Genomic DNA, 27,398 nt, shown 5'->3' on the forward strand with positions numbered 1-27,398 from the left:
GAAAAACAGACCTTGAATGCTCGGCCGGTGAGCTGACTCATGGAAAGCACCTGGAACAAAGCCTGGCACAGAGCGGACGCCGTGAGAGGATCCGCCGCTGCTGCTGCGGTTAAATGAGTGTTTCTGAAAAGCTTCCTGGGCCAAGCCAGTGCTAGACAGCAACAAGGCAGCAACAGGCAGCCAGCGCCTGCCCCCAAAGAGTTCCCAGTCTCTGGGAATGTGAAACAGGCTTAAAACCAGGGGTAATATCATAGGAAAAGTGCAAGGAAAGGATTCTCCTGATGGATTCATCCAGAGCGATGGGACCTGAAAGCATTGTGCATATTGATTGCAGAAGAAGCAGACCTGTGCAGGGAGAGAAGCATCAGAACACGCACCTGTGCAGGGAGATAAGCATCAGAACACGCACCTGTGCAGGAAGAGAGAGGCATTGGGACACACACCTGTGCAGGGAGAGAGGCATTAGAGAGGCAGGGAAGGAGGTGATATGGTTTGGCTGTATCCCCATCCAAATCTCAGCTTGAATTATATTTCCCAGAATTCCCATGCATTGTGGGAGGGACCCAGGGGAAGGTAATTGAATCATGGGGGCTGGTCTTCCCCGTTATTCTCGTGATAGTGAGTAAGTCTCACGATACCTGGAGGGTTTATCAAGGGTTCCTGCTTTTGCTGCTTCCTCGTTTTCTTTTGCTGCTGCCACGTAAGAAGTGTCTTTCGCCTCCCGCCATGATTCTGAGGCCTCCCCAGCCATGTGCAACTGTAAGTCCAGTTAAGCCTTTATTTTCTTCCCAGTCTGGGGTATGTCTTTATCAGCAGCGTGAAAACAAACTAATACAGGAGGAATTGGGCCAAGCAGCTGTGCGGCACACTTGGGAAGCAGGGCTGTCCCGGCTGATTCTTGGTAAAAGCAAAAAAGGAAGGGGACACACAGTGAATCCTGGCAATGCATCCCCCGAGGGTAATACCAACCAGGAGCATTACCCCCATTTCACGGGCAGTGTCCGGAGAGCTCCGAGACAGTGCAGGAGGGGGGCTGCTGTGCGCAGGGCCCTGGGCAGGAAAACTGTCAGGCCCAAGAGGAAGGTGAGGAGGTTGGGAGGGGAAGTGTCACTCTTTCCACTGTTTCTTTAACATGGAGGACCACCTGGTCTGGTCCTCCCCAAGGTGCCTCATTACAGGTGGGATGCAAAGGCCCACGGGCGCCATGGGAGTAGTGGTCTGCACAGCACAGTGAGTCCCACCCACTGTAAAGGCCCAGACGCCTCTCCCAGGAGGCACAGGGCTGGTAGGGTCAGAACCGTCCCCAAGGCGTCTAGATCTGCTGACAGACATAAGGCAGGAGGAGGGGCAGGTGTGGAGGGTGGAAGGAGAGAGGTAAAGCCGGGCTGGTGAACGTGGCTGCAGACGTGGCCCTCATCCCCCACGGAATGGGGAGCACGCCAGGAACATGGTCAGATTTGGGTTTCAGAAACTGCCAAGGGCTTCCCTGCGAGGCTGGGTCACCCTGGAGAGACTGGGGCAGTGAAGTGGGTAGGGGACCAGGAGCCTGAACCTGGGAATGGCGGTGGGGATGGGAGAGTGGACAGAGGCTGGAGATGAGGAGGAGGCGAGCTGAGCGGGACTCGGCCGACCGCGGTGAGGGAGAGGATGTTGAAGGCTGACTCCCAGGTGGCCAGGGCCTGGCTGGGGGTGGCAAGGAGGCCAGCAGGGGCGGCAGGGTGGGGGCTGGAGGGGGAGGTAGATGGGGAGTTCTGCATTGGGCAGTGGCAAGGGGAGGGGATTCCTGATGAGCTCTGCGGAGGGCACCTGCAGATGCCCGGCTTGGGGTGAAGGAAGAGAGAGGTCTGGGTGGACATGGGCTGGAGCCTGGCCTCACTGGACTTCTTGGGTTGTGCCTAGGAATAGGGTTTTACTGTGAGGTTACACCTGGGAGTTGGGGAAACCCACCAAAGCCAACAGCCCAGGCCCCACAGCAGCTCCCATCCCAGGCCGGCTTATGCCCACCCTGCAGGCCTCACCCCTGCTTCCCCGGCTCCTGCTCTCTCTGCCCTCTGCCAACAGCGTTGGCTTCCTGCCTTCAACAGCCACCCCAGTTCCCAAATGCCTTCCCTCCTGTTGGGCAGCACCCTGATGGAAGCTCAGGCTTGCACAGCCCAGGGCCGCTTCCCAGCTCAGCATCAGGGCTTAAAGAAGGAGCTGTGCCCTGCAGTCACCTTCCTGGGAAGGGGCAATTGGTGCGTGGCTCCGGATGGGCTCTGTCCCCTGCATGGCTCAGCAGGAGCCACACAGTGAAGCCCTGGGAATGGATGAGACCGTCCTGGCAGGGGGGTGCCAGGAGTGGGGGTTGGAGGAGCCATGCTCGGGGCGTCAGAGGGTAGGGGCTGGGAGAGCGGGGACTCTGCCTGGGGGGGATGCCCGGGTCCCGCTGACTTCCCGGCGCCTCCTCTGGGGAGTCGCCAGAGCGCTGTTTTACACGTGTGAAGGTCACACAGAACGTTCTCAGCACAGAGAAGGTGCTCCGTCAATGTTTGCTGAGTGAATAAATGTGCTCTCTTGCTCTAAATGGTCATTGCTTGGCTGTGAACTCGAGGGCAGAGCAGGTGGAATTCATTTTTGTGCTCCGGGGCCTGACAGCTAGAAGGGGCTTGGGAATCATTTGTGTAGTGATTTTCAGAATAATGTCAGGGCCTAAAACTGTAACAGCAAAATGCAGCACCTGCTCCCCCAGCTCCTCCTTCTGGGGTTGGCGGGTCAGGACCCGTGGAGGGAGGGAGCCCAGTGACCCCAGGGGCCACGGCACCCACGGCAGCCACGGCACCCGTGCTTTCCACAGCAGGCCCCAGCAGCTTTCGGCCTGCGCTTTGCTGTCAAACTTGTCTGTCGCAGTTGTCCCGGGCAGTAGGTCCTGCACAAAGCTGCCCCAGGAGGAGTGGAGCAGCAGGAAGAGGCAATTGTGCTTGCTCTTGGTCTTGCTCTGAGGCACTTACTTCCCCTGGGGGCAGTCGGCTGCGTGCTGCCCTCCTGCTGCGACTTAGGATCTCACCCGAGGGCCAGGAGATTGGCTTGGTCTGTGCACCATCGACCCGAGGGCCAGAAGGTTGGCTTGGTCTGTGCACAATTGACCCGAGGGCCAGAAGGTGGGCTTGGTCTGTGCACCATCGACCCGAGGGCCAGAAGGTGGGCTTGGTCTGTGCACCATCGACCCGAGGGCCAGAAGGTGGGCTTGGTCTGTGCACAATCGACCTGAGGGCGAGAAGGTTGGCTTGGTCTGTGCACAATCAGGACGGCCCTGAGAGCAGAGTGGCGGCAGGGCTGTCATCCCAGTGCCTTCGGGGACTGCGCCGAGGAGCCGGGCCGCATCCCACGTGGGGTGACTCGCACCTGCCCGTCGGGGCCAGGCTCATGTTGGGTATTTCATGCGGCTCCCTGAATTCTCAGAACAGCCTGCGAGTTGTCATTATCTGTCCTATGGGAGAGCAGGCAGGATGTAGGCCTGAGACAGGCTGGTGCCAAGGTCCGTGTCCTTTCCACAGGACTGGGGCGTTTGGAAACATCCGTTCAATTAACCTTCAGGTATGGCGAGGCCCTACTGTCGCTGACAAGCTAGTTTGTTAAGGTTCTCAGTAGGACTGGTCACGCCACGCCACGCCACACCACACTAGGCCATGCCAGGCCACACAGGGAAGTGCAGGCCAGCTGAGAGGCCGGGGGAGCAAGGGGAAAGTACGGGCAAATCCAGGAACCTTTGCTGTGGTTTCTGCGGGAAGGAACAGCTGAGGCCAGGGAAGAGGGCTTGGGGCTGGGTGGCCTGAATCACTTCTGTGGGCTCCTGACATTGGCTGTGTCTTGTGGTCTGCTGCCTGGCCCTGGGGTGATTAGGGCCGGGGTGTAGTGGGCTGGAGTGTGAGATCCCCAAGCCCCCGATAGTGAGGGCGGGTGTGGCTCTAGACTGCTTGGTTTTTCTGTAAGGTGTGCGCCAGGCTAGGGGTTACTATCTCTAGGAACTGGCCAGCCCTGGGAGGGGCCGTCCCTCCAGGGTCAGCAAGGTGTCCTAAGTTAAAGCATCAGGAAAAAAAGATGTTATGGGCAGCCCTCCGAGGCAGGTTGGTGCCCCAAAGAAGGAGGCAGTGGCTCAGCTGTGAGGAGCCCCTGACCTCAGAGAGGGTTCTAGATGCACCAGACCCTCTGAGTGCAGGGGACGGTCTGAACGTGCCTGCGGCCCCACCCCCGCCCCCTGTGCAGGAGGTGGGTACGCCTGACTCCTTCCTTCGTCCTGCCAGGTCTCCTGCCCTACTTTCCAATCGGTCCCTTTGTATGAAAGGATAGCCACTTTTAACAGCCTCATAAAACAGATGAAGTTTCCATCATAAAATTTCTGGATCACAGACATCAGCTCATGTTTTCCCTGCTTCCCATTAAGGAGCTGGGCTCCTGATTTATGTTCTTGAGGCTTCGTGTCGCCTGTTCCCAAAATTATAACTCACATGATGAATATCGCTGAGCACTCTCCATGGTGTTAAAAAGCAAAGCCAGGAGTCCCGGTGTCCTCTCCCTAAGTTCAAAAGGAAATTAGAGGCCCTTCCTTTCCATTTGGCAGCCTACCAGGGCATGACCTCTGTTCAAAAGCCAACAAGGAGCGTTACTTTAAAAATGGCCTATTAAAAGCTTTAACCAGACTTTCCCAGCAAGACTAACCGCCCACCAGGGAACAATTAACGGTGCAGCAGGGGACGCTCAGCCTTCTCAGACGCTGCCTGGGAGGACACGCTGCTCACAGTGTCAAAGGGCAGGCCGAGGGCGCTTGGAAAATGACTTCTCTCCTTGCAGAACTCCTATTTAAACATGAGAGCCTAGTTCAAATAACCCCCACTCCTCTGCAAAAACCCCACCCAACAGCCTCAAACTTAGGAGCTCTGTGATTCCAGAAATCTGCGTACAGTCCTCTACACAAAAGGCGCATCCAGGATCTCTTTCCATGTCGTCTTGCCTGGAGCAAGCTCCCTGAGGGCAGGAGTTGTAGCTGACCCATTTCTATTTCTAGCACCTGGCACAGAGTTGGCCTCACAGCAGGTGCGCAAAACGTCTCTTGAACTGGATGTTCAGGTCTGTGGACTCGAAGCTACTTTTTAATATAAACCACGGCTCCTTCATCTGCCTACGTCCTCCCTTCATGTGTCACTCCTCACCCCTCTCTCCCCGGTAGGTGGCCAAATGTCAGCGAGAGACCCCCACCCACCTGACAGCAAGGACTTCAGGAAAAGCAGCCACTTCTCAGTGTGCAGCACACACCAAGGGCAGTGAAGACACCGGGGCTGGGGGAGAGAAGTTTATTCATACACAAAGGGGCACGCCAAGGGCGCCAGTCTAGGGTTACACCACGTGAAACAGTAGAAAATTCAACCAGGAAAGCAGGAAATTCAGTGAAGCTACTACAAAGTGGGGCGAGTGGACTGAAAACTAGGATTTTCCTTGCAAGTTTCTTTTCATAAAATTTTTACTTTATGAATTAAATACATTGAGAAACAGTGAAAATATATTTACAGTCATTTGAAGTGGGCACTACTAACATATTTAATTTAAAAAAATCTTTGCTGTTTCTTTGCCTGTTTCTTTCAAAGAGAATTTTAAATATGACTTTAGCTTTTAAAAAATACAATAAGGAAATAATTACATTCTTAATATGAAAACATTTTACAACGTATCACCATGGTCAATTAATTCTGAATATCACTTAAAAGTTGATGTTAAAATGTAAAGTGAATATTTCCTTTCTTGTTAGAAAATCAAAAAGATTATCTCATTAAAAACACCTTTGGTCCTAAGACTTATGATCTGAAGATGTCCTTTTGAAAGTATCTTCCATGGCTACACTAAAAAGACCCGGTAACACTTGTGCACGGTGAAGTTGAGATTTTCTGGAAGACCAAAGCCGGAACTATTTCATGAACTACGGGCGAAAGGATGCGTCTGACGCCCACCACTTCCTGGGTGCAGTTTCCCTTCTTTTACAGACGCCCTGCTATGGCTTGGGGACTCACGAATAGAGGTGACTGCTTTTTCTGCAGTGCTGTGCCACGTATTTACGGCAGGAACGTTTTGGTTTCATTTTAGTTTATTTCACAGTATGAACCCAGCCCACCAAGGGGATAAGAAGACAGTGACAACCAGGAAAAAATGAATTATCCTCCTTCAAACTATGTCATGAACTTGAAGTGACTGTTCCCATTAGAAAATCATTTTAGGAAAAGTAAGAGGAAGGCAATAGTTTAGTTTAACATTGAAACATTGCCACGACCTTTATGTAAGCTGCAGGGCACCCTGCCGGCCAACCCTGATGCCTGGAGACCTCCAGTGCTGTGTTCCCAGAAGAGGCTGTTTCAAGGATGGACATCCACCTGAATGCAGGGGCCACCTGTGAGCTCAGGGTGTCGGCCCCGCCCTGTGGCACAAGGTGCCTTTTCTCTGGATGGCAGTCGCCGGCCACACTGCAGGCTGCCCATCCTTGGATGGTGTCTAATGACATCAGTTCCGTGCATGAACACAGCACCTCACCTGGGTGGCAAAGTCTGTGGGCAAAATTTACATCCCCCCAAATAGTGGGTGAGTAGAATTAATAGCCTTTTTGGAAAGGGAAGGTGTGGCCACAAACAGGGGAGCTTTGCTCACAACCCTACACCTAACCCCAGCTTCGACGCTGCCCTTTGAGTCCCGTGCACAAGCACCAAACTGTGGCCATAATGACAATGAACCTCAAACTCCTTCCTGGGGGTGGCCTCCAGAGCTGAGGCCACACTTTTTGAAACAGACTTTTCAAAAGGAGTAAATCTCCACATTTTAGGGTAGTTTTTGTCTATTTAGAAATGGCCAGTAATAATTCTGGGATGAGTAAGATACAGGGGAAGGTTAAGCCTGGCAACGCCAGGGCATAGGCACAGAGGGGCGAGATGGGACTGACCCAGCTGGTAAGCCGCCGCCCGCCAGCCCCAAGGGAAGGTCTCAAGGAAGGCCCCATGGACAGTGGCCCATGCTCCTGGGGTAAGTCTGGTGCCTGGGGTGACTCAGCAGATCCACACTGGTTACCTTGCAACTGCCGTGGACTCTGGAAGCCGAGGGAGAGAGCTACCAGCCTTGCAGACAGATGGGCCTTGCCCCAGTTCCCCGCAGATTCTGGGAAGAGGGAGCCATCGCCCATGCCTGTGCCCAGGTCAGGGGGACAAAGGGAGCCCTCGAATCTGATAGTTGTTTCTATGAAAAAGTTGGTCAGTGGCTTAACATTATAAAAATATATAAATGGAGGTTGAAGGCTGATGACACCTTAACAAAATAGAGCCAGGAGCAGAGCCCTGAAGAGTGACACTGTGGCTCAAGGTTAGAATGGAAGGAGCCCTGAGCCCCGCAGGGGTCGGCCCCCTCACCTGACCTGTCCTCCGGCCAGCTCCATCGCGTGGCCACCACATTCCTCGCATTGCGGTCGGCACCGTAGTACAGGTGGCTAGCCCCTGTGAACACGACCATCTGCTAAGTACCAGTGACATTGCGAAGAAATCCGGCTTCTCCGGGGACCCTGGCCTGCCTGTCGGGCCTCTTGCCCTCAGCCTGGCTTCGTTATGAAATCAGACACACTCGCAGCTGCCACAGAGGCAAGGGGTGCTTGTTCCTGGGGCATGTTTTGGGAGGGGAATAAAATGACATCACTGTCAGAATTCTGGCAAGATGGCTCGCGTGTGTCTAATATGTACAGATATAAATTAAAAACTATATTTATTGAACATATACACATAAATAACTTATTCTGAAGTAAATGCTTTAAACTTTGATGGAATGTGAAATTTCAAGGGAGTATCCGCCATGGAAGGAACCCACTGTCAGGCCCCTCCAGGGCACCCATTTTGAAAGGCTCCATGGACCACGATGGGGTTTGTTAACGTTTGCCTCCGCTTTAAAAGGCTTAGGGTTGTGGATGTGAATTACAAACCTGGGTTTTTACAACAAAATATGCATGCTGGGAGTCGAGCACCAATCAGCTGTGCCGTTGGGCAAGTCCCTGCTAAGGCTCCGGGGCCTCCTTGCCTGGTGAGGAAGCTGGTGGGTGACGGCTAAGGCCCACGTGACACTTTGCGTGCTGCTCACACTTCACCTGCCAGCTCGCTGCTGCCCACCTGTGCTGGGCCAGGACCGTGACTTCAGGCTGGCCATCTCCCCCTTCTCTTACTAACCACCAAAACCTCACACAGTTCTCTTTGGCAAAGCAGGCTGCCAATCAGAGTGGCCCAAGAGTGTCAACCAGGGAAACTATTTGACCCGAAGGCAGCAAAAATCTATGGAGGAGCAAACTTTTTTCCCTTTATAGAAAATTCATTTTGTGTGATATGAAGTGGGCCCAGCTGCCTGCAATGGTGGGAAGTCTGCCTGCAATGGTGGGAAGTGACCACTGGAGGGAGGGCTCCTCTATGGCAATGCAGCGGACGGCCCTGAGGTGTGTGGCGTCCCCGCCCGACCTGCCTGGATGTCCTAGTGGGAAGCTGGCGTCACGGATGCTGGTGTGATGGGCCTCCACGGACTAGGCCGGGAGGAACGTGCATCAGAGGGGAAAGAAAGGCTGGCTGATGGCTCAGGAACCCAAAACCGTTCCCAGCAGATGGCTTTGCAATCAATTCAAGTTCAGGTGGACTCAAGCAGCTTCCAATTCGTGTTGTAAAACTTTTTCTTATACATGGGAGACCGCTTTCCGCTTCAGTAATCCAACGTGGCCCTTGCAGGCCTCAAGCGCCACCACCTTAAACATGAATCCTAACTGTAAAGTCCCGTGCACCACACAGCTAGCGCTCTGAAAGTATGTCTGGGGGAAACCCAAGGAGTCAGTCAGTGTTTTCCCGCCATCTCTTCCTCTGTGTGAAAAAGGACATTCTGGACAGTGGACAGAAGGAAGGCTTACACCAAGTATGGCACCTCTGTATTCTATGCTTGGGGAAGGGGCGGTTGCTACTGGGACTGGTCTCCATGAATCTGCCTGCGGAGGCGTTCAGGGGTGACTTATTTCGTCATAAGTGACTGCATCTTCCCGTACTGGAGAATTCCTGACAGCAGCCTCCGGGAGACCAAGAAGTTAATCTGATTTTTAAACCCAGGGGGTAAATACCAGCTCAAACTATGAACTCTGTTTTTTTCCTTTATGCCTTAGGCATCCAAATTCTCCAAGAAATATTGCACAGAAGGCAAGCAAGAAAGCTGGGAAAGAGGCCCTACTTGCACCCACCCTACTCAGGAGAGGCAGCACGGCCAGGCCCACCAACACATTAGTGGTTTAACTTGACAAGCTGGAGGAAGGGGAGGGGCAGGAGGCCCTGGAATTCCTGCCTCTTGCTCTAAGGTGTTATAGTTCCATGAGCGAACAAATTCCGGAACTTGCTTCCCTTTCAAAGGACTGCCCTGGCCCCAAGCAGCAGTAAACGTCCTGTACAGCGGCGAGGAGCCAGCCCCTGCCCCCAGAGGCTCCTGGTGTGAGAAGCACCTGCCGGCTCCGACGTGGATTAAGGGCTGGGGATGCTAGCCCAAGGGGGAGGAGGGTGTACTGTTAGTGAAGTATTAAAACCCTCTGCTACCTGTCAAAAGCAGCACAAATAATTAATTAATAAAATAAGGAACCTCTGAAAACTCCTTGATCTAAGTGTGACACACAGTAAAAAGACATTCCTAAAAAACAGGTTAAGAAGAATGGCAGCTTTTCATGTCTTGGTGACAAAAGCATCTGTCCAAAAAATAATAATAAAAGGTAAAAAACGTTTCACAGCGCGATTTTCTCATGCCTTTACCTCTGATGACGAGGGGGACGGGCACGTGGAGAGGGTACGCCAAGACACAAAGTCCACGTCAGGACTGCGTATGCCCCTGGCCCTCCTGGTGGGCGTGCAAGGCGAGCCCAGTGCCCATGGCCAGCCACACTCATGCCCGGGGCAGCCGGGGATCCAAGCTCTTCCCTGTCGAATCCAGGTTTTCATCTGGGGGCTCATGGAACCATCCATCCTCAGTCCAGGGCTGGGTTGGAATCGGTGAAAGCAATGGCCTATCTGGTTAGAAAGATGTCACTTCGCCTGATAGCATCCTTTCAAACACCTTTCCATCACTTTTTTTGTTTTTTAACAAAGTTGGGAACCAAAGTCTTACATCTTTTTTAAAGGCGCCATTTTACAGTAGAAAGAATACAAGTGGGCCTGGGGGACAGGCACTGGCCTCAGAGCTCAGTCGTGGAGCCTCTGGAGTCGTGCAGCTGAGGCCACTCTGGGCAGAGCTTCCTGCCGTCACACAGATGAGGATACAGGCAAGGGGGTGTGCAGTCTCTGAGGCTGGAGTGGTGCTGCTGTCCCCTAGGTCCCGTTCTTCAATTCCCATTCCTAGAGGAAAGGAGAGTCTTGTAAGTGGACAGGGCAAGAGGATCAGGCTGGGACAAGCCACGCCACCATCCACATTCAACTCAGAGGGGGTGGGTGCTCGGCTACTGCAGAAAACTCAACAGAATCAATGACCAATGACCCGGCAATTCCACTGCTAGGTATTCACCTATCAGAATGGAGAGCATGGTCTCCAGCAGATACCACACACCCCGTTCACAGCAGCATGACTCACACCAGCCAGGAGGCAGAGGAAACCCAGTGTCCACCGATGGATAGACATGTAAAACATGGCGAGTACAGACAACACCACGTATTCGGCCTGAAAAAGGAAGGGCCTTCTGACACACGCTGCAACCTGGATGAACCTTGAGGACATGATCAGAAACAGGCCGATGACAAAAGGATAAATCCTGTAACGATTTCACTTATGTGAGGGACCTGGAGAAGTCTAACAAGGACAGAAAGTGGGCTGGGTGCAGTGGCTCACGCCTGGAATCCCAGCACTGTGGGACACACAGACAGGAGGATGGCGTGAGGCTAGGAGTTTGAGACCAGCCTAGGCAACGTAGCGAGACCGCATCATGTCTATTTCAAAAAATATAAAAAAAAAAGGAAGTAGAATAGTGGGTATCAAGGGCTGGGGTGGGAAGTTTGGGAAGATGAGAAAGTTCTGGAGAAGGATGGCGGCGATGGCTGTGCAACAATGGGAATGTGCTTAATGCCACTGAACTGTAGACTTAAAAATGCTTAAAATGGTCAATTTTACATCGTGTTTATTTTACTCTAATAGAAAAAAATTTTTTTAAATATGTAGATGCTTAAATCCAGTCAGCAGAGCAGCTGGACTGGTTCCATCCACAGGCCCTGAGTGCTGGCTGCAGATGGCTGTGGTCTACGCAGTGCCAGCACTGTGAAAGCAGGGACAGTGGGCACTGGGCAGGCACTGTGCCATGCACTGGGTGCGGCTATGTCTGGTCTGACAACAGCCCTGCAAGGTGGACAGTACCCCCACTTCATAAGTGAAGAGACAGGTAGGTGCAGGGCTCATGCCTGGAATCCCAGCACTTGGAGAGGCTGAGTGAGGTGGGAGGATTGTGTGATGCCAGGAGTTTAAGACCAGCCTGAGCAACTTAGGGAGACCCCAACTCTACAAAAAATACAAAAATTAGCTGGGTGTGGTGGCGCACACCCATAGTCCCAGCTACTCGGTAGGCTGAGGCGAGAGGATTGCTTGAGCCCAGGAGTTTGAGGCTGCAGTAAGCCATGATCGCCACTGCACTCGAGCGTGGTCAACAGAGCAAGACCCTGTCTCAATCAATCAATCAATCGCTAAGGAGACAGAGGCTTAATGACTTGCCTTAGGTCCAAAGTGATGAAGCTGGGCCCCAAAACCACTGGGTCCACAGCAAAGGCCTCCCATCTCCACTCTGCCCTGCTGCCTCCCAACAGGCCACACTCTGGCTTTTGTATCTGCTTCTCTCTACACACACCCATGCCTGTTCTCCACCTGATGTCACCTGGCCAGCCTCATGCATCCTGAGGACCAGGCTTCAGTGATTCCCCACCACCCTGTGCCCCTCGTCCTGACTCAGGGAGGCAATGCTCCCATCTTCTGTGCAGTTTTTGTGCTTTTCAACAAGCCATGTCACAGCAATAGATGTACCTGCCCCTCCCTACTGGACAGCGCCCTCCGTGCTCTTCCTCACCTCTTCCTTTCCATCCATTCATCTCTGGGTCCTCAGCACCCAGTGCAGCTGCACAGAGGCAGAAGCCTGGGCTACTCATGGTCTCTGGAGCTACGTGGATTTGAAATGGGGTTTGGCCATGGGATTGAGTTCCAGAAAGAGGAGGCAAAAGAGCAGACCCAGGTCAGAGCAGCGGCAGACACCATGCAGGACAGAGGCCCTTGGTTCCCTGGCATGGATGGCTCTGGAGGACAGCAGAAGGCACAGACGCCAGGGCCAGACCTTCTGTGCCTCAGCCACTGAGGGGCCTTGGAGAGGTTGCTTCATCTCTCTGAGCCATGGTACAACGTGAGTCCCACCAAGGACTTCAAAGAGCAATTGGGAAGATCAAAGGAGACAGGGTCTGTGAAAGCCCCGACCACAGCGCCCGGCCACCAAAGAGGGACTTTCTTCTCTGCGCCCGCCCAGTGACCCTGCGCCAGGATGCAGACGCCTGACTCCCACTATTTCCAGGGGCTCATTAACTGGGTCATGAGTACACTGCACGTCTCCGCATGCTGCATACAATGAACAATTTCTCACTTTGTCTAAATCAAAAGCTCGAGTTCAACTCATGGTTAAATTCACAGCACTAGCAAATCTGGCAGAAACAAACACCAAGCCACAATGCCGACAACACTATGCTGAGGCCCTCTCAGACTCGGCGGAAGTGTTCTGCAAAGGGGAGGATGGGTAGCTGGGTACGCTTCGTGCCTTCTTGCCCCTTCAGCCTCCCTGGGACAGCTATGTGGGCCGTTGTAAGCAGAGAAGGTGCCCAGGGGACAGCATCACAAGGTCGGCGCTCAAGGGCAGTCCTCTGTTGTACAGGTCCCCCATTTCCTCCCAGGCAGTGGGGTTTTCAGAGAGGGAGGACCCCATGTTACCTCCGCGTGGTGCCACATATGTTTAGCAAACAAGCCGAGGAAATGGTAACATTCCAAGCCTAGGTCACACTGGCCACAGAATAAGCGACAGGATGAGAACCTGTATCCTCCACTCAACTCGGAGCAGGGCAGGAAACAGAATCTCCAGGTGACTGTGTCACGGGAGGGAAACAGAATCTCCAGGTGACTGTGTCACGGGAGGGAAACAGAATCTCCAGGTGACTGTGTCACGAGAGGGTAACAGAATCTCCAGGTGAATGTGTCACGAGAGGCAGGGGCACGAAACCTGGAGCAGCCCAGCGCCTGCCCCTCGGGCACCTCCCAGAGCAGAGCCACAGTTTCCATGCCTGGATGGCCCTTGGCACACGGCCTGCCCAGATGAAGGGAAGGGAAATCTGACCTGGAGCTGTGCCTGGTGGGTGGTTATGAGCCAGGAAGCCCTGGGGCACGGGATTGGAAGCCGTCTGACTTTCCAGAACCCTCTCTTGCGCTCAATGCTCCTCACCGAGAGTTGGAAGGTATTTCAGGAATACCGCAGCGGGCATAGCGCTTCCCACATCCGGAATACGTCAGACCCCTTGGTCCCCAGAAAAAGGCGGGAGGCAGATGAGACCAAGTTTACGATACACAAGTGCATTCATGTTCTCAGGGTCTACAGGCCCCACCACCTCCAGCCAGGGGTCCCCTGTCACTGTTCTCAGAAATCCTGGGGAACCCTGCTCAGTCCGTCCCCTTCTGATTTCTGCACAAGATTCTCAGCTGGAGGGACGAGAGCAGCTTCCGCTGTTTTCTGGACCTATCAGTGGGGACCCATCTGGACAGCTGGCTGTGCATCTGAGGTGGCCCAGGATCACTCGCTTCCCATTCACCAAGAGGGAGCAAAAGGGAGCGGGGGGCCTGAACCTCTGTATGACGGAAGCACACACGGTGATGGGAGCCCTTTTGAGGGTCGGGACCACAGAATTTTCAGTCCAATTTCTTTGATGATAAAGAAACTAAATAGATGAAGTACATTTACAGCATCTCTCATCTGCGAGTCCTAAGTGGGATGTCATTGGGCAGCTCAATTCTAAACATCCCCCAGGCAAAACATATTCCTCCATCAGTGAGCTCAGTGGTCACCAGCTGAGAACACTTGGTAAACACTAAGAAAAGCAATGGAGATGACAGCCAGCCATTCCTCCCTTCCCCAGACTCACCGACACACACGGTCTTCAGTACACGGATCTGCTATGGAGGACCACTGTTCTGGGAGGCTGGGGACAACCATGTTTCTCAGGGGCCCTCCTGTGAGCACCCCAGAGAGCACAGCAGGGGGGCGGCACTCATTCCCATCTCGCAGGAAACACCTATCCCCAGTCAACTCGGAGGGGGCTCCAAAAGCTGCAAAGAATGCCAAGCTGGGCGCAGTGGCTCACGACTGTAATCCCAGCACTTTGGGAGGTAGGAGGATCACTTGAGCCCAGGAGTTTGATACCAGCCTGGGCGATACTGGCCAAACCTCATCTCTATAAAGAATACAGTAAGTTAGCTGGGCATAATGGTGTACACCTGCAGTCCCAGCTACTTGGGAGGCTGAGGTGGGAGGATCACCTGAGCCCAGGAGATCAAGGCTGTGGTGAGCTGTGATGGCACCACTATACTCAGCCTGGGCCAGGGAGCGAGGCCCTGCCTCAAAAAAAGAAAAGTTAATTCCGGCAATGAGAGGAACCCACAGAGCCGGTACAGGAGGACTCCCGTGTTCCAGCCCCTCGGGGCGGGGCCGGCCACACTCCTGTGGCTCCCCAGCTCACACCATCGCACTCCGTGCACTTCCACACACAGCACTTTCCGCTGCTGCCGCCAGGACCCGTTTGCTTTGATCAACTACTGTGTTTTAAAGATTTCTGAGGTTTCAAAGGTTAGCATCAAAACTTGCTAGTGGCTAATCCCATGAGAAGACCGGAAGCTGCCCCAGGAGGGAGTAAACAGGTTCCTCCGAGGCCCTCAGAGCCCGATTCATGCAGCTGGCGGTGCTAGGGAAGGGGCTGGGGGAAAGCTTATTCCTGGACCCTTTCCTTTGTTTTTCTAAAGAATCACACATCTGAGTGCTGAAGAGGACTTCAGCGGTCTCCTGGTCTAATCTCCACCGCACCACTGAGAAAACGAGTCCAGAGGAGCCCAGGGCTTGCCTGCATCTGAGATGACTCTGGAGCCAATTGTTGGCACTGGGGCTAAACGGTCAGCACCTTCCAGTCACTGTTCACCTTTGAGAACCCGGTTCCTAACAGGATCTGCGGGGTGGTGAGAACTCGATAAGCACCCATTCCCAGATGTCTACTGAAGGCTGAGTGCCAAGTGGATGCAGTAGGAAGAAGAATGGGCTCCCTACTCACACCCGAGAATGCTGGGAGCTTAAAGTGCCTGCCCAGGACACCCAGACACCCCCGGACATCAGGGCTTACCTTGGCCTTCCGCAGCACATGCCCTCGGCAGGGGGAGCTGCCCGGGGCAGCCTGGCTCTTCTTCAAGACGGCCGCGCTGTTCACCGGCACGGGGCCCTCGGTGTCACTGGTGTCACAGCTGGAGATGGGCGAGTTTTCCAGGGTCCGGTGCCGGAACACTGGAGACTTAACGGAGAGAGAGAACCCCATGTGATGAGCGGTTTCTGGGCCACTGGTATTCTCCAGCAGGAAAATGATTTATTTCAAGGAAGAAATAAGTTTTGGAAATGGGCAAAAATAACAGCAGTAGCAGCAAGGACTGCCACGTGGTCAGTGCCTCACCCCCAGAGCGTCTCCTGGCATTCACGGCCGGGGGGCAGAGGCTCCGACGGGCAGGTGGAGGCTCCAAGGGGTGCTCTGACTCCCGGCTGTGCCTGGGAAGCAGTGAGGGTGGGATTCCTGCCCTAGTCTTTTGCATTCAAAGCTGGGCTCTTGCATGCAGCTGCTGCCGCCTCTAGCTGGTCCCTTTGTGCAGTGCTTTAAGGTTTTGAGCTTTTCTGGGGTCAGCGCCCTAGAGATGCTCAGGTAGCAGAAAGTGGCGGCACTCACGGCAGCACTGGCTAACGGGATGCAGCCCCACTGCGCGGGGCTCGCTGGAGAAAAGCAGGCTCCATGAGCACAGAGGCCTTCCTAGTGTTTACGGCAGCTTCCATATGCCAAAGGAGGAGGTGTTCAGGAAGGCTGAAAATAGAACAACATGTGTCCTGAGCTGCCGAGGCCCCCATTGCTGGCTCTTCCATATGGGATCCCAAACTGCTCTCTGGGGGGAAAAAAACGCCACAGTCTGCTGAGCCTTCTCTCAAATGAAGTCTCCAAGGAAGAGACGCTTCCTAGGATTCCTGCCAAAATGTGTTTGTTATGTAAAAAATATTGCTCAGGGTATATGGAATATTGTTTTAGAACAGTGTTTCAATTACCATGAAAATGGGCAGCTCGGGGTCCCCTGTGGGCTTTACTGGCCACAATCCCCAGGCAGCCAACTTGACCTATGCAGTGGCAGCCCCTGGCTGCCGGGAGGGAGCTTAGGGTAGTAGTGAGTGAATACAATGGAATGATGATCAGGACATCTGTGTCTGGCAGAGGCCAGGCTAGGCTGTGAGTAAAGGGGCAGGTGACCCAAAGACCTGCATCTCAAGAGGGGTCCACCGAATAAGCCACTCTCCCGAGGACGGCCTGGGCTGCAGCGGTGCAGAGTGCTTCCCCAGATGCGGGGACAGAGGATGGCACCAAGGACATCCTCCCTCAAAACAGAGGGGAAGTCGCAAAGCACAGTGGACTGGGAGCGGGGAAGCAGAGGCAGCAAGCCAGGCGTGGGCCCCCAAAGGATACTTGGGACAAAGGAGAAGCGAGGCGGGGGGTGGCAAGGCAGGAGCTGGAGAAGGGGCCAGAGGGAAGCTCGAGCCATGGGGGTGGAAGAATGTGGAGCCACCATAGAAGAGAGTGGGCAGCTGTGCCGAAGGGCACCGGAACCGGGGAGTGAGGACTAACATGTCCACTGGATGGGAATGCCGGGGGTCACCATGATGAAAGCAGGTGCAATGGGAAGCCACATCCAGAAAGTGAAGCTGTAGGAGGGGCAGAGGACACTGCAAGCATGCTGCAAGCATGGACAACTGCTTCCAAAGTTCACCCTGGAAGGAAAGGCAAGAACGCAGGGCAAGGGGACAGTCACCAGGGGGAGCAGGAGGCCAGGCAGAACCTTCTTTTTTTTAAGGATGGATTCAACTAGAGAATCCTTAAATGCTTGGAAAAAGCTGACAGAAAAGCTGAAGACACAGGAGAAGGATCCTCCCAGGTGTCTGGAGGTCAGGAAGGATGAGATCGAGGCACTGACCAGAGCCCAGGAAGCCCAGCCCCTCCACTCAAACAGAACCAGAGGACGGGGGCGGGACAGCTCCTCAGAGCACTCCTGCCCTGCCACCACCCTCCACGCAGGACAAAAGACAAGCAGCGTGGGGGACTGTGTGCACTCCTGCCTCAGATCACAGAGGGAGGGGCACAGGGCTCCATGAAGCAAGGGAAGACCCCTGCCCTGTCCCAGCCAATGCCTACAGCCTCACTGCCACTCTCACTGCACCTGACCCCACCATGCTCTTGTCCCCATTTATGCTGGATGAGGGACTGGGGTTGTCCAAGGCACCTCCTAGCCCTTGGATTCCAATTCCCCCTGCACCCCTCCTCCTCAGCACTGTTTCACTGTTCTCCACAGATCTGTCCGCATCTGACACCAACGTGTTTTATTGGTTTGCCTCCCTCATGAGAAGATAAGCTCCATGAAACAGGGATTCTCACCTATCTTGTTCATAACTGCAGGCCTGGAACAGTTTGTAGCACACAGAGGGAACACAGAATGTGGGCTGGGCATGGCGGCCCCCGCCGGTAACCACAGTGACTCAGGAAGTGAGGTGGGAGGATCACCTGAGCCCAGGAGTTCAAGAAGGAACACAGCATATGCATATGTGTGTATGTACACACACACACACCTTTACATATTAAATAGTATGTATCGTATAAATATATAATTGTATTTTATATATAATAGATAAATGTTGAATGAATATATGATTTTATGTAATATATAACAGTAATGTATATAATGATATCAACAAGCAATTGTTGGATGAGTGGAATGAATGAATGAATGCATGTGTATGTTTGGGAAGATGTGAATGATGTGAATGAACACAGGCGCTTCGGTGGGCACTGTGCCAAAAGCGTCCACACACAGTCTATGCAGCGACCGTTATTATTTACAGATGAAAAACTCAGGGCCTAGAGAAGTCAAGTCATTTCAAGCCCTGGCCTGTGTGACCCCAGAGCCACCTCTTGAACACCTGAAAGAACCATGCATGAGTGGCTGGGTTTGTGGTTTGGGGACAGAGCAGTGACCTGGCTGCTTGCTCAGCTCTGCAGGCGGGAGGGAGGTTGTCCTCTGGGTTGGAGGTGATCGCTGGGGTGCCACAGGAGACTGGGGCAGGGATGGGGGGATGGGAGAGGCTTGGAGGAGAAGGGGAGAGTAAGGAAGAACAGGCTGTGCGGGTGGTGCCCGGTAGGGGCCAGCAAGTGACTGAAACTCAGGGCTGCCGTCAACCCATAAATGTGTCAATCTTCCCCACAAACCCGCCCAGGGCTCATGTGGAAGAGCAGCGGTGGGTTCAACCAGGCTCAGCATTTTACTGAGGGGTTTGGAAAGAAGGACCTAGAAGGGGAGCGTTCGGGACGCAGTGGGTGGGGACCCAGGGGCACCCACGGTGTTTCGGCTGGAACAGGGGCTGAAGTCCAGCCGTCCCTCACTGGCTGCCTGTTCTGTCTGCCCTGCAGGCGTGTTTACTGCTCTGGGCCCAGTGCCTCCCTCGCTCAATGGAGTGACGGCATCCAACTCACAAGACAGGAGACTCAACAGAATGACCAAGTGGAGAAGACGTCTAAGTTCTCAGCGGTCTCAGCCGAATGACTGAAGAGGAACCAGGGACAGGGATGACTCACATGGGAAGAGGACCCCACTTTGTTCTGTTTGATTCTAAGAGGACACAGACTGCTTCATTCATTTCAGTTTCCCCAGCACCTGGCTTAACTCTCAGACATGTTAGACGGTTTGTAAGCACCGGCTCTACTGAACTGGCATCAAATCATGACCTGGTTCAGAAGAGACACGAGGACTGGATCTGTTCTAAACAGATTGTGCAAAGGGGAAAGACACAGACTCAGCATTTCCACAGCTTTTAACATTTCAGCGAGAGGTGAGAAAGCATGTCAGGAACACAGGCCCGGCCGATGAAAGTGTCTGATGCTAACACATGAACTGTCTTCTGCTGGGCACACTAAGGGGCCACAAGCAAGCTACGCCCCAGAGCCACTCCACATTCTCTCTGGGTGCACTGGCCCTCGGCCACGCAAGGCCGCGCCAGCCTCCGAGGTGAGCCAGAAGGACACACACCTGTGGACTCGATGTCCCTGACTTGGGCTCGATGGCCAGCCCCAGGGTGACTCCGCCCGCCAGCGCTTTCTTCAGGCTCTCCTTGACCTCCGTCAGCTCCAGCTCCAGGCTGACACGCTCCGCCTCCTTCTGCCGGCACTCCTCCTCCAGCTGCTTCAGCTTCTCCTCCAGGATCGCCTGCGGCTTCCTGCCTGGAATTCCCAGAAACGCCGTTACTCCCGCGGCAGGCACAGGTTCTCCAAACAACAGAGAAGGCACCTGGTCCCCAAGAAGAACTTCCACAAAACGTCTGAGGTCGAGCTCCCCTGACTTAGGTCCTCGTTGTGAAACTTAAATTCAGCAGTTCTCTAAGGGATCAGAGTCCTTCTCCTACCATTTCCCTTTGCTGCAGCCGTTGAGGACTCGGACCAGGAAAGAGGAGATGCTGATTCTGACGAAGGCCAGGAGCTCCTGGCTCTGGGCCTCAATGTTCTCATTTTAAAACGTGGACCCTAAACTCCACAGTTCCCAAAGCTGCCACCTTCTTGGAGTGTGAACCCTGTCCTCCCCTAACGCTCCGCCGATCCTTCAGTCATCTTATTTGCGCCCGAGGCAATGAACAGTAGCTCAGCTTGCATCTCTACTGGACATGGCACACATTTCTTTAAGGCACATTCACTTATTTTATTTGAGGTTTGCTGCAGTGACCTAAGATGCACCCACTGGGCAGATGAGAACACCAATCCCAAGAGGTGAACGGACTTGTGCCCAGGGCCTGGGCCGGTGGTGGCCGGCAGGCGAGGTTCTCTTTTTCAAAGCCAAAAGCACTCCTGGCCCTCCTGCATCTTCACTATCCTGCAAGCTGGGAACACGGGAGAAATGCTACTTCTGTCTCATTAAACTCCATGCCCCGTCCCATTCTCTGGCACAGCCTCCTCCCGTAGGGTCAGCCTCAGACTGCAGGCCACATCCTGGGCCTCCTATAGGGTCAGCCCGACCTGCCCTGCCAACACCTGCCTTCCCTCCTCTAAACTCCAAAAGCATTTCCCTTCATCAGATCATTGAGGCACAAAGTCCAGCAAGGCTGGAGCTGCTAACCACCTGCTGGGTGTGCGTCAGCTCCTCCCCGCGCGGCGAGCCATGGGAAGGCCACAGCCTCTTCTCTGGACCACCCAGGGCTCTGAGGCATCTGAAGCCCCCGTCCCAGCCCAGGCCAGTACAATCTCAATCTAAGGAGCCAGTCTTCCGTAGTCTAAGCACCGGGCTGGAAGGGAGGCCATGCGTAGGTAAGCGGTGCCACCCCAGGCTCAGGAGCTGAGCGCCAGCTCCCGCCAGCAGGAATTGCACGCGCCTGGCCCAGGGCTGCCACTCTGGCTGCAAACTCAGTTTCTGTGACTTCAGTCCCTCTCTGGTGTCTGTATTCCATTAGCCTGGCCTCTTCCCTGATGCATCCCAAGACAGATGCTGCCTTGCTCTCGCCTGTCCCTTCTCAACAAACGAGGGGCTGCTTCTACCCTTGTCTGGACTTCTGAATATTACTGACCCCTGTGGGCTACCCTCTGTAGAGAAATCCAGCTGATCCCTCCTACCCGGTGACCAGAATCTACTGCGTCCTGCGGATACAGGGGCCATCCTCCAGACAATCTCTGTTGTCAGCGCCAGAAGCCGGAACAGGTCCCCCAGCACCTCCCCTGCCTCGGTGAGCAGCGTGTGGGTCTGGCCCTGGCCTCTGCCTGCACGCCGCATGTTTGACCACACAGGCACCTGCCTCGGGGTTACCAGCAATGTTTCCAAGCCCCAAGAAACACTGTGAGATAACCCACTCTTACTAAATAAAATGACAGCCTTGGTGAGCAATAGGTCCTTTGGGCAAAGCAGAATGAAATCTCCAGTCTCTAATACAAACATGCACCCTGGGCAGTCACCCACACCCTTCATACCGGCGTTCACTTCAATAGCCGCTCGAAGGTCTTTTCTTTCCTTGCGGAGCTGGGCCAGCCTATTCCGCAGGGCCTCTTTCCTCTTCAGCAGCTCCTCCTCTTTGGTCTGTAGCCGCTTGGCATCTGCTTCTACCCGGTTCTTGCCATACTTGTACTGGGCAGCATCTTGAGAAGAAAAAAAAGCAGCAATTAAAAATTAGGTTTACTAGCCTGGGAAATATGGGACGATCCCTTCTCCACAAAAAATACAAAATTAGCCAGGCATGGCGGCACATGCCTATAGTCCCAGCTACTCAGGAAGCTGAGGTGGGAGAATCGCTTGAGCTTGGGAGCTTGAGGCTGCAGTGAGCTGTGATCCTGCCACTGTGCTCCAGCCTGGATGACAGTGAGACCCCGTGTCAAAAAAAAATTAGGTTTATTCAAGCAGATAATGGGGTAACTCAAAAAGCCTGTTGAATCAGCCAACTCAGTAAACAAACACAAAGCATTATTTTGCTAATTCAACAAGAAAAGGACAGGGCTGGTATGAACCAAGCAGAAAAGTGACTAGTTCAAATTCTCCAATATTCTTTGAATCAAATTCTTAAAAACGAAAACAGAATATTAGGAAATTCCTTTAATTCACTTCCCTTTGAGGCACACGGCTTATAATTAATCTGCAACAAGGTGGAGAATGAACATTCTATAATCGGAAAAGACAGGAGTAATATCAAAAATAATGTCTGAAATTTGCTTCCTTCTCTACGTCTTCAAATCCTTCCCTAACACCGCAGTATCTGTTCCTTATGGCCATGTCATCTGACTGGCTCTGAATTGCTGCTACACCCCCAGCACTGAGATTAGCACCCGGCACGGAGTGTGGCACAATAAATGCTTGTTTAGTGAATAAATGAACAACGGATACATGAAGAGGCAACCAGGAGCGGTATCTGGAGCCTGACTGTCTAGGAAGGAGTCCCAGCTTACACTTGTAGCTGCATGACCTGGAACAGGGCACGAATCCCTCTGTGCCTCAGTTTCCCTCATCCGTGAAATGGGGATAGTAAGAGCAGGCAATTCACTGAGTGGTTACGAGGATTAAATATTTATAAAGCACTTAGAACAAACACAAATGGGCAACACATAAATGCTTATTTCATAAAATGAATAAATGAAGAGGAAACTAGCTGTAGGGAAAATTTACAGACTTGGCAACTTCACATCACCAGTGAAAACAGCTTTCAAAACCTGACCCCATGCTCTCTCCTATTATGTTGGCTTTTCAATAACAGTAATTTAGGACAACACCTCTTTGTTAAGACACATGGAAGAGATGAAGGTTCTAACAAAACTCGGATGGAGGATCACCGATTTCAAAGCTTCCGTGGTCTCCCAGTCGCTTCTAACAATCACTCACGCCTGAAGGCAACTCCCAGGCCTTCCTGACTGCACACCCCAAGTGTCTGACTCCCTCACAAGGCTAGAAACTACTTCAGGTAGAAGCCACAGGGGTGGCATAATGATTAAGAATAAAAACACTGGACTCAGAGAGGTGGCTAGAAACCCACACTCCACCCTCCCTTGCTCCATGACTCTGCAAGCAACCTCCGGAGAAGCTCAGCTTCACCCTCTCTAAAGCAGAAACGAGAAGGAATCCTGTGTGTGTGTATGTGTGTGTGCGTGCGTGTGCATGCGTGTTTTAAATTAGAACGTTATATCTGAAAAAAATCTAACAAAATGATACGACGCCTGATGTAGTGGACATTCACTGACAATTCTTACCATATCAGCGATAAGTGATTCCCAGAGCCTTGTCCACTCAGGGACAGCAGGGAGCCATTTCTAGCACCTGTCCTAAATGCTGGATTTGCCAATTCTTGCAACGTAAGTTATCATGATTTCAATGAAATACTGCATTTATGAAGGCATAAAAAGTGATCACTCCCCAGTCAATTTTCCCCTAATCAAAAGAACCACATAGAATGACAGCAAAAGCGTCGGCAGCCTGAGGAGAGGCGAAGCATTCGACAATCTGAAACAAAAGGATCGCTGTTTGCAGCTAAGGTTAACAACATATTTGGCAAACAGGGCCAAGTCCAAACTCTACTCGCTTATTTCTAAACTAAGCTGTTTCCCCAATGAACTCAATGCAATCACCTATAAATTTCCACATCTTTTGGTCCCCATGTAATAAATCCCATCTAATCTATAATGCAACCGGCTGGATTCAAGCAAAAACACGGAATGCCATTATTTTTCTCTTTTGTCACCATTAGACGTCACCACAGTTAATAAAAACTCCCTACAGAACATCCCATAAAATAAAGGAATAAATCATCTAGGAAATAAAGTCAGCACAGGTACTGACAGAGAAACACCATGGCGATTGAGACTCCGTGGGACTCCGATTTTGCTTGTAACAAAGCTTTCCAGGTGTGAGCTGCTCCTCTCCCCCATCTGCCCCTCCTCAAAGAAACAACACTAAAAGAGGTGAAAGTAAATACACCTGATACATTCAGGAAATAAGATTTGCCAGATAAGGTCAAAGGAAGTTAGTACATTAAACAAATGGTGGTAGGAGGGAGGATTTGGCCCAACTGGCTCCAACCTATCTGGTCAACACGTATGTTGGGTAGAACAGAGGTGGAGAAAAGCCTAGATCAGGGATGTATACGCTTCCTTGGGGCAGACGCAGCCTGGCCCTGCGGAGCGATTTCAAGCCTCGTTCACGAACATGGCCAAGGACACTGCCAGCCTCTTCATTCCCCTGTGTGGATGCTCCAACTCCAAAAGTGGAACCACAGGGCAAATGAATGTCGGCACGTGTCGGTATGGCAGCCTCGCTCTTCGACAGCTGGTGTGGGGGTTACCACCTGGGGCTAGCTGGCCTCATCTTCGTTAGCACTGAGACTGGTCTACCAGTTGCACAGATTCAGATTTGAAAATCTCAGGTGCAAATCCCAAGTGGCGATGGCATGTAACCACATCAAACTCAACATCTGCACCTAACTCCCACCTTCTTTCTCTGGGAAATCTTCCTGGACATGCCCAGATGGACTCAGGAGCCCATCACCTGTAAATCCCCACACTGCAGCCCTGCCACTTGCTTGTCTGCATGTGTGGGTCCGCTGGACCACTTTGGTGTATCTTTGAGCCCCTTGAGTGAAAAAATGCTGCCTGGCTGGCTCCCTGATTAGACATCCAACATAATGAGGACTAACACCAATACAAACACTTAAGAGATGACATATCGCCCTAGCTGGATCTACTACAGGGAAGGGAAGAGGGTGCTGGGTCCAGGCAGGCTGAGTGTCTCATGTCTTAATGCTTCTCTGCCCAATCTATTTCCGGCTGGATGTGGAGTCTGAAGGCCTGGCACCCACTCTGGCTCTGTGATTTACCAGCTGTGAGCCTTGGGGGAGCTGCTTACTCTCTTGGTGATTCTTTTCTCATTTCTATGATGGGGTAGAGGATAATGCCTATGCTTACAAAGTGGCTGTGGGAAGTAAACCGGATGGGATAAGAATGGCTTGCTGTGGACCACAGGCACCGCAGGATAACCATTCCTCAGAACTCCTCATACTGCTCTAGTGCTTGGAGGTCCGTGTATTACCTCAGCTATTCCAACCGCACCAACCACGGGAGCCACGTGTCTACGTCTGACAGATAAAGATGCTGAGTTTAGAGTCTGCAAGGCTTGACAACCACAGATCAGGGACAGGAGCTGAGGTCTCCTGACCTGGAGCCCAGGGCCACCCGGAGCTGCAAGAAACCTGCACTCACAACTGCCTCCTATTTTAAAATGCTGAGTCGATCCCACAGGTGGCAAACCAGTTCTGGGCTTCAATTTACAAGCAGTCAGAAAAGCTGGGTTGAAATCGCCACTGTCCTTCTATGTGGCTGATGAGGAAGGATGACGGTGCCCACCGCTCCATCTCTCCAGCTGACCCCAAGCTGGCACTCACGGGTGGGCAGGCTCAGACAGGCCCAGCTCCACCAAGTGCACTTGAAGCCGGAATGCAAGACATCCGATGGTATACTTACTCGAACCCGTCCTTTTCACAACAGCCGCGGGATCCGCTTTCTTTGGCTGACTGCTCAGAGTCTTCCCTTTTCCTGTGACCCCATTAGACGCCACGGGGGGCTTTTTACCCTTGAGCTGTTGAAATAAACATATAAGAACATTAAAAATAAACACAAAGTCAAACAAATCTTGGTCTTTTTTTTTTCTGGAGTCATTTCTTTCAGTCTCTAAGTATTGTAGAAACTGGCATAGATGGAGGAAAAATCGAAAGTGAAAGAAAACCAAGATGGTTTCCAAACACTGGGCTGCTGGGATTCTGGGGAATGGCTAAGGAGGGTACGGCAGAGGCTCTGTAGGATGTGTTCCGCTGGAACACTGCAGAAGTGGCCCCTTTCTACTGGCAGACCACAAATGCTAACCAAGCTGGCGCAGGCAGCTGACTACCCCAGAGCACTCAGATGAGAGGAGTAGTTTGTGTTTCTGAGGATAAGCAGCTTTTATTTCAGTGGGATGCCTTTTAGGAGAGGAGCACGACCCTGCAGTGTGAGTTCTGCTGCTCCAAGTGCTTTGACACTGAGTGACATCCTACTGGGATAAGTGACCGCCTTCTTATCGCCGACGGAGTCCGCAGAAGGAAGCAAGAGAAGCATAACACAGGCACAGCAGCAACACTATGGAAACTGAACTTCCACTAACTACAGGTTTCTGAAAAAGTGAAATAGTACTCTACTCCTGAGACTGATACAGGCCAACACGTTTTGCATTTTGCTGAAGTGACCTTATGTGCAGCTTAGCTGTGTAATTAATTCAGCATGACAGCAAAGGCTCACTCCAGCATCCACGCCCACGCTTTTTTCCACGATACAGCTTCCTTCTGTTGCAGGCCTCACTTTTTGGGAGGCAGAGAGATCTAGCTCCAAATTCTGGCTCTATCAATCATTTAGGAGAAGTTGAGCAAGTTATTTAAACTTTCTGAGCCGCCATTTGATCATTTAAAAACATAAAGAGATACCTCCCCACAGTGTTCCTAAAAAGATCAGATGACGTGCCATACATGGATAGAGCATATGGCACATAAGTGCTCAGAAAGTGCAAGGTCTCGCCATTAAAAACAGGTTCCCATTAAAATGACCAAATGAGGACAGGAAACCCAGAGGTCATGTAATTTAACTTGCAAAAATGTTTCCTATTTCAACAAAAACAAAACAAAAGGGGACAATAGTAACAAACACTCCACAGGGGAACCATACATCAAATGATTCCCAACCAATGTGGGGACAATCCAAGAGTGCAAGATGGCAAACTGTGTGGCAGGGTTTTACCTAAGGCAACTCTAATGCCAATAAAAAGACATGTAGAAACATAGAGGGAGAAACTTTCGCTTAGTGAGTGCAACACATAACCTGACAACTTTTTGGCATAAGTCCTCAAAAGAGGCCAACGGCTCCCCTACCCCCGGTCCCCAACTACACTTAGCTCAGGGCCACTCAGACTCACTGAATGGGAATCCCCAGGGATGGGATCTGAACAACCGTCATGAAAAATCAAAAAGCAACACCAACCTGTGCATTTGATTTTTGATGAAGCCGACCTATTGGGAGCTACTGTTCTAAGTCACTACTATCTATAATTCTACAATTTTATCTGGTTATTTTCTTAAGATTATCCAAAGAATGGAGAAAAAACAAATATTTAAAACATGCCCATTTGCTATATATTCATATTCTTACATATGGGCTTAGGTCTTTAGGCAAAGCATGAACAATTCTTAGGTTAAATATGCATGATAAGCTGGGCACGGTGGCATGTGCCTGTTGTCCCAGCTACTTGGGAGGCCAAGGAAGGAGGATCACTTGAGCCCACAGTTCAAGTCCTGCCTGGGCAACATAGTGAGACTTCATCTTTTTTTTTTTTTTTAAAAAGGCCTAACACCACAAAATTACTCTGAAATGTTACTGTTTGCCATAGATACAGGGTGTGCAATGGACAGTAGTTCAACATCACGGTTATTATTGTTCAATGGTCATCAAAAGTCCTTATTATCGTTATCTAGTTTT

The 27,398-nt window shown here is 52.2% G+C and overlaps 1 protein-coding gene and 1 long non-coding RNA gene across 10 annotated transcripts in view, besides 7 other annotated features; one reads left to right on the forward strand and one right to left on the reverse strand.

Moving 5' to 3' along the window:
* Window positions 480–706: a silencer, noted in NCBI's record as "fragment chr4:7755607-7755833 (GRCh37/hg19 assembly coordinates)". NCBI's record gives its function as "represses an EF-1alpha promoter that drives an FKBP-Casp9 reporter gene in an ReSE screen in K562 erythroleukemia cells {active_cell/tissue: K562}" and the evidence as "EXISTENCE:reporter gene assay evidence [ECO:0000049][PMID:32094911]".
* Window positions 690–25,528, forward strand: AFAP1-AS1 (AFAP1 antisense RNA 1). The gene is made up of 2 exons (NR_026892.1): window positions 690–759; window positions 18,804–25,528. It is a non-coding gene; the product is annotated as an AFAP1 antisense RNA 1 (long non-coding RNA).
* Window positions 3,499–3,999: an enhancer, noted in NCBI's record as "H3K4me1 hESC enhancer chr4:7758626-7759126 (GRCh37/hg19 assembly coordinates)". NCBI's record gives its function as "activates a minimal SCP1, AML or CMV promoter by ChIP-STARR-seq in naive H9 embryonic stem cells {active_cell/tissue: H9 hESC(naive)}" and the evidence as "EXISTENCE:reporter gene assay evidence [ECO:0000049][PMID:30033119]".
* Window positions 5,313–27,398, reverse strand: part of AFAP1 (actin filament associated protein 1) — a 181,149-nt gene continuing 159,063 nt past the window's right edge. For 6 of the 9 annotated variants that reach the window (NM_001371091.1, XM_006713909.4, XM_047416061.1 and 3 more), the window contains 5 exons: window positions 25,362–25,476; window positions 21,339–21,503; window positions 19,420–19,610; window positions 15,444–15,608; window positions 5,313–10,391 (listed from right to left, as the gene is read on the reverse strand). In NM_001371091.1, coding sequence (NP_001358020.1) covers window positions 10,365–10,391; window positions 15,444–15,608; window positions 19,420–19,610; window positions 21,339–21,503; window positions 25,362–25,476 — 663 coding nt within the window. In that variant the 3' untranslated portion in view covers window positions 5,313–10,364. Of the gene's footprint in view, window positions 10,392–15,443; window positions 15,609–19,419; window positions 19,611–21,338; window positions 21,504–25,361; window positions 25,477–27,398 lie in introns of those variants that run through there. The other 3 variants (NM_198595.3, NM_001134647.2, XM_017008536.1) reach the window with 2 other exon arrangements.
* Window positions 8,953–9,661: an enhancer, noted in NCBI's record as "H3K4me1 hESC enhancer chr4:7764080-7764788 (GRCh37/hg19 assembly coordinates)". NCBI's record gives its function as "activates a minimal SCP1, AML or CMV promoter by ChIP-STARR-seq in primed H9 embryonic stem cells {active_cell/tissue: H9 hESC(primed)}" and the evidence as "EXISTENCE:reporter gene assay evidence [ECO:0000049][PMID:30033119]".
* Window positions 9,662–10,368: an enhancer, noted in NCBI's record as "H3K4me1 hESC enhancer chr4:7764789-7765495 (GRCh37/hg19 assembly coordinates)". NCBI's record gives its function as "activates a minimal SCP1, AML or CMV promoter by ChIP-STARR-seq in primed H9 embryonic stem cells {active_cell/tissue: H9 hESC(primed)}" and the evidence as "EXISTENCE:reporter gene assay evidence [ECO:0000049][PMID:30033119]".
* Window positions 14,266–15,181: an enhancer, noted in NCBI's record as "H3K4me1 hESC enhancer chr4:7769393-7770308 (GRCh37/hg19 assembly coordinates)". NCBI's record gives its function as "activates a minimal SCP1, AML or CMV promoter by ChIP-STARR-seq in naive H9 embryonic stem cells {active_cell/tissue: H9 hESC(naive)}" and the evidence as "EXISTENCE:reporter gene assay evidence [ECO:0000049][PMID:30033119]".
* Window positions 17,698–17,897: an enhancer, noted in NCBI's record as "active region_21276". NCBI's record gives its function as "activates an Ori minimal core promoter by ATAC-STARR-seq in GM12878 lymphoblastoid cells {active_cell/tissue: GM12878}" and the evidence as "EXISTENCE:reporter gene assay evidence [ECO:0000049][PMID:35858748]".
* Window positions 18,808–19,037: an enhancer, noted in NCBI's record as "active region_21277". NCBI's record gives its function as "activates an Ori minimal core promoter by ATAC-STARR-seq in GM12878 lymphoblastoid cells {active_cell/tissue: GM12878}" and the evidence as "EXISTENCE:reporter gene assay evidence [ECO:0000049][PMID:35858748]".

This window comes from Homo sapiens, chromosome 4 (assembly GCF_000001405.40).
Source record: "Homo sapiens chromosome 4, GRCh38.p14 Primary Assembly".
Classification (NCBI taxonomy): domain Eukaryota; kingdom Metazoa; phylum Chordata; class Mammalia; order Primates; family Hominidae; genus Homo; species Homo sapiens.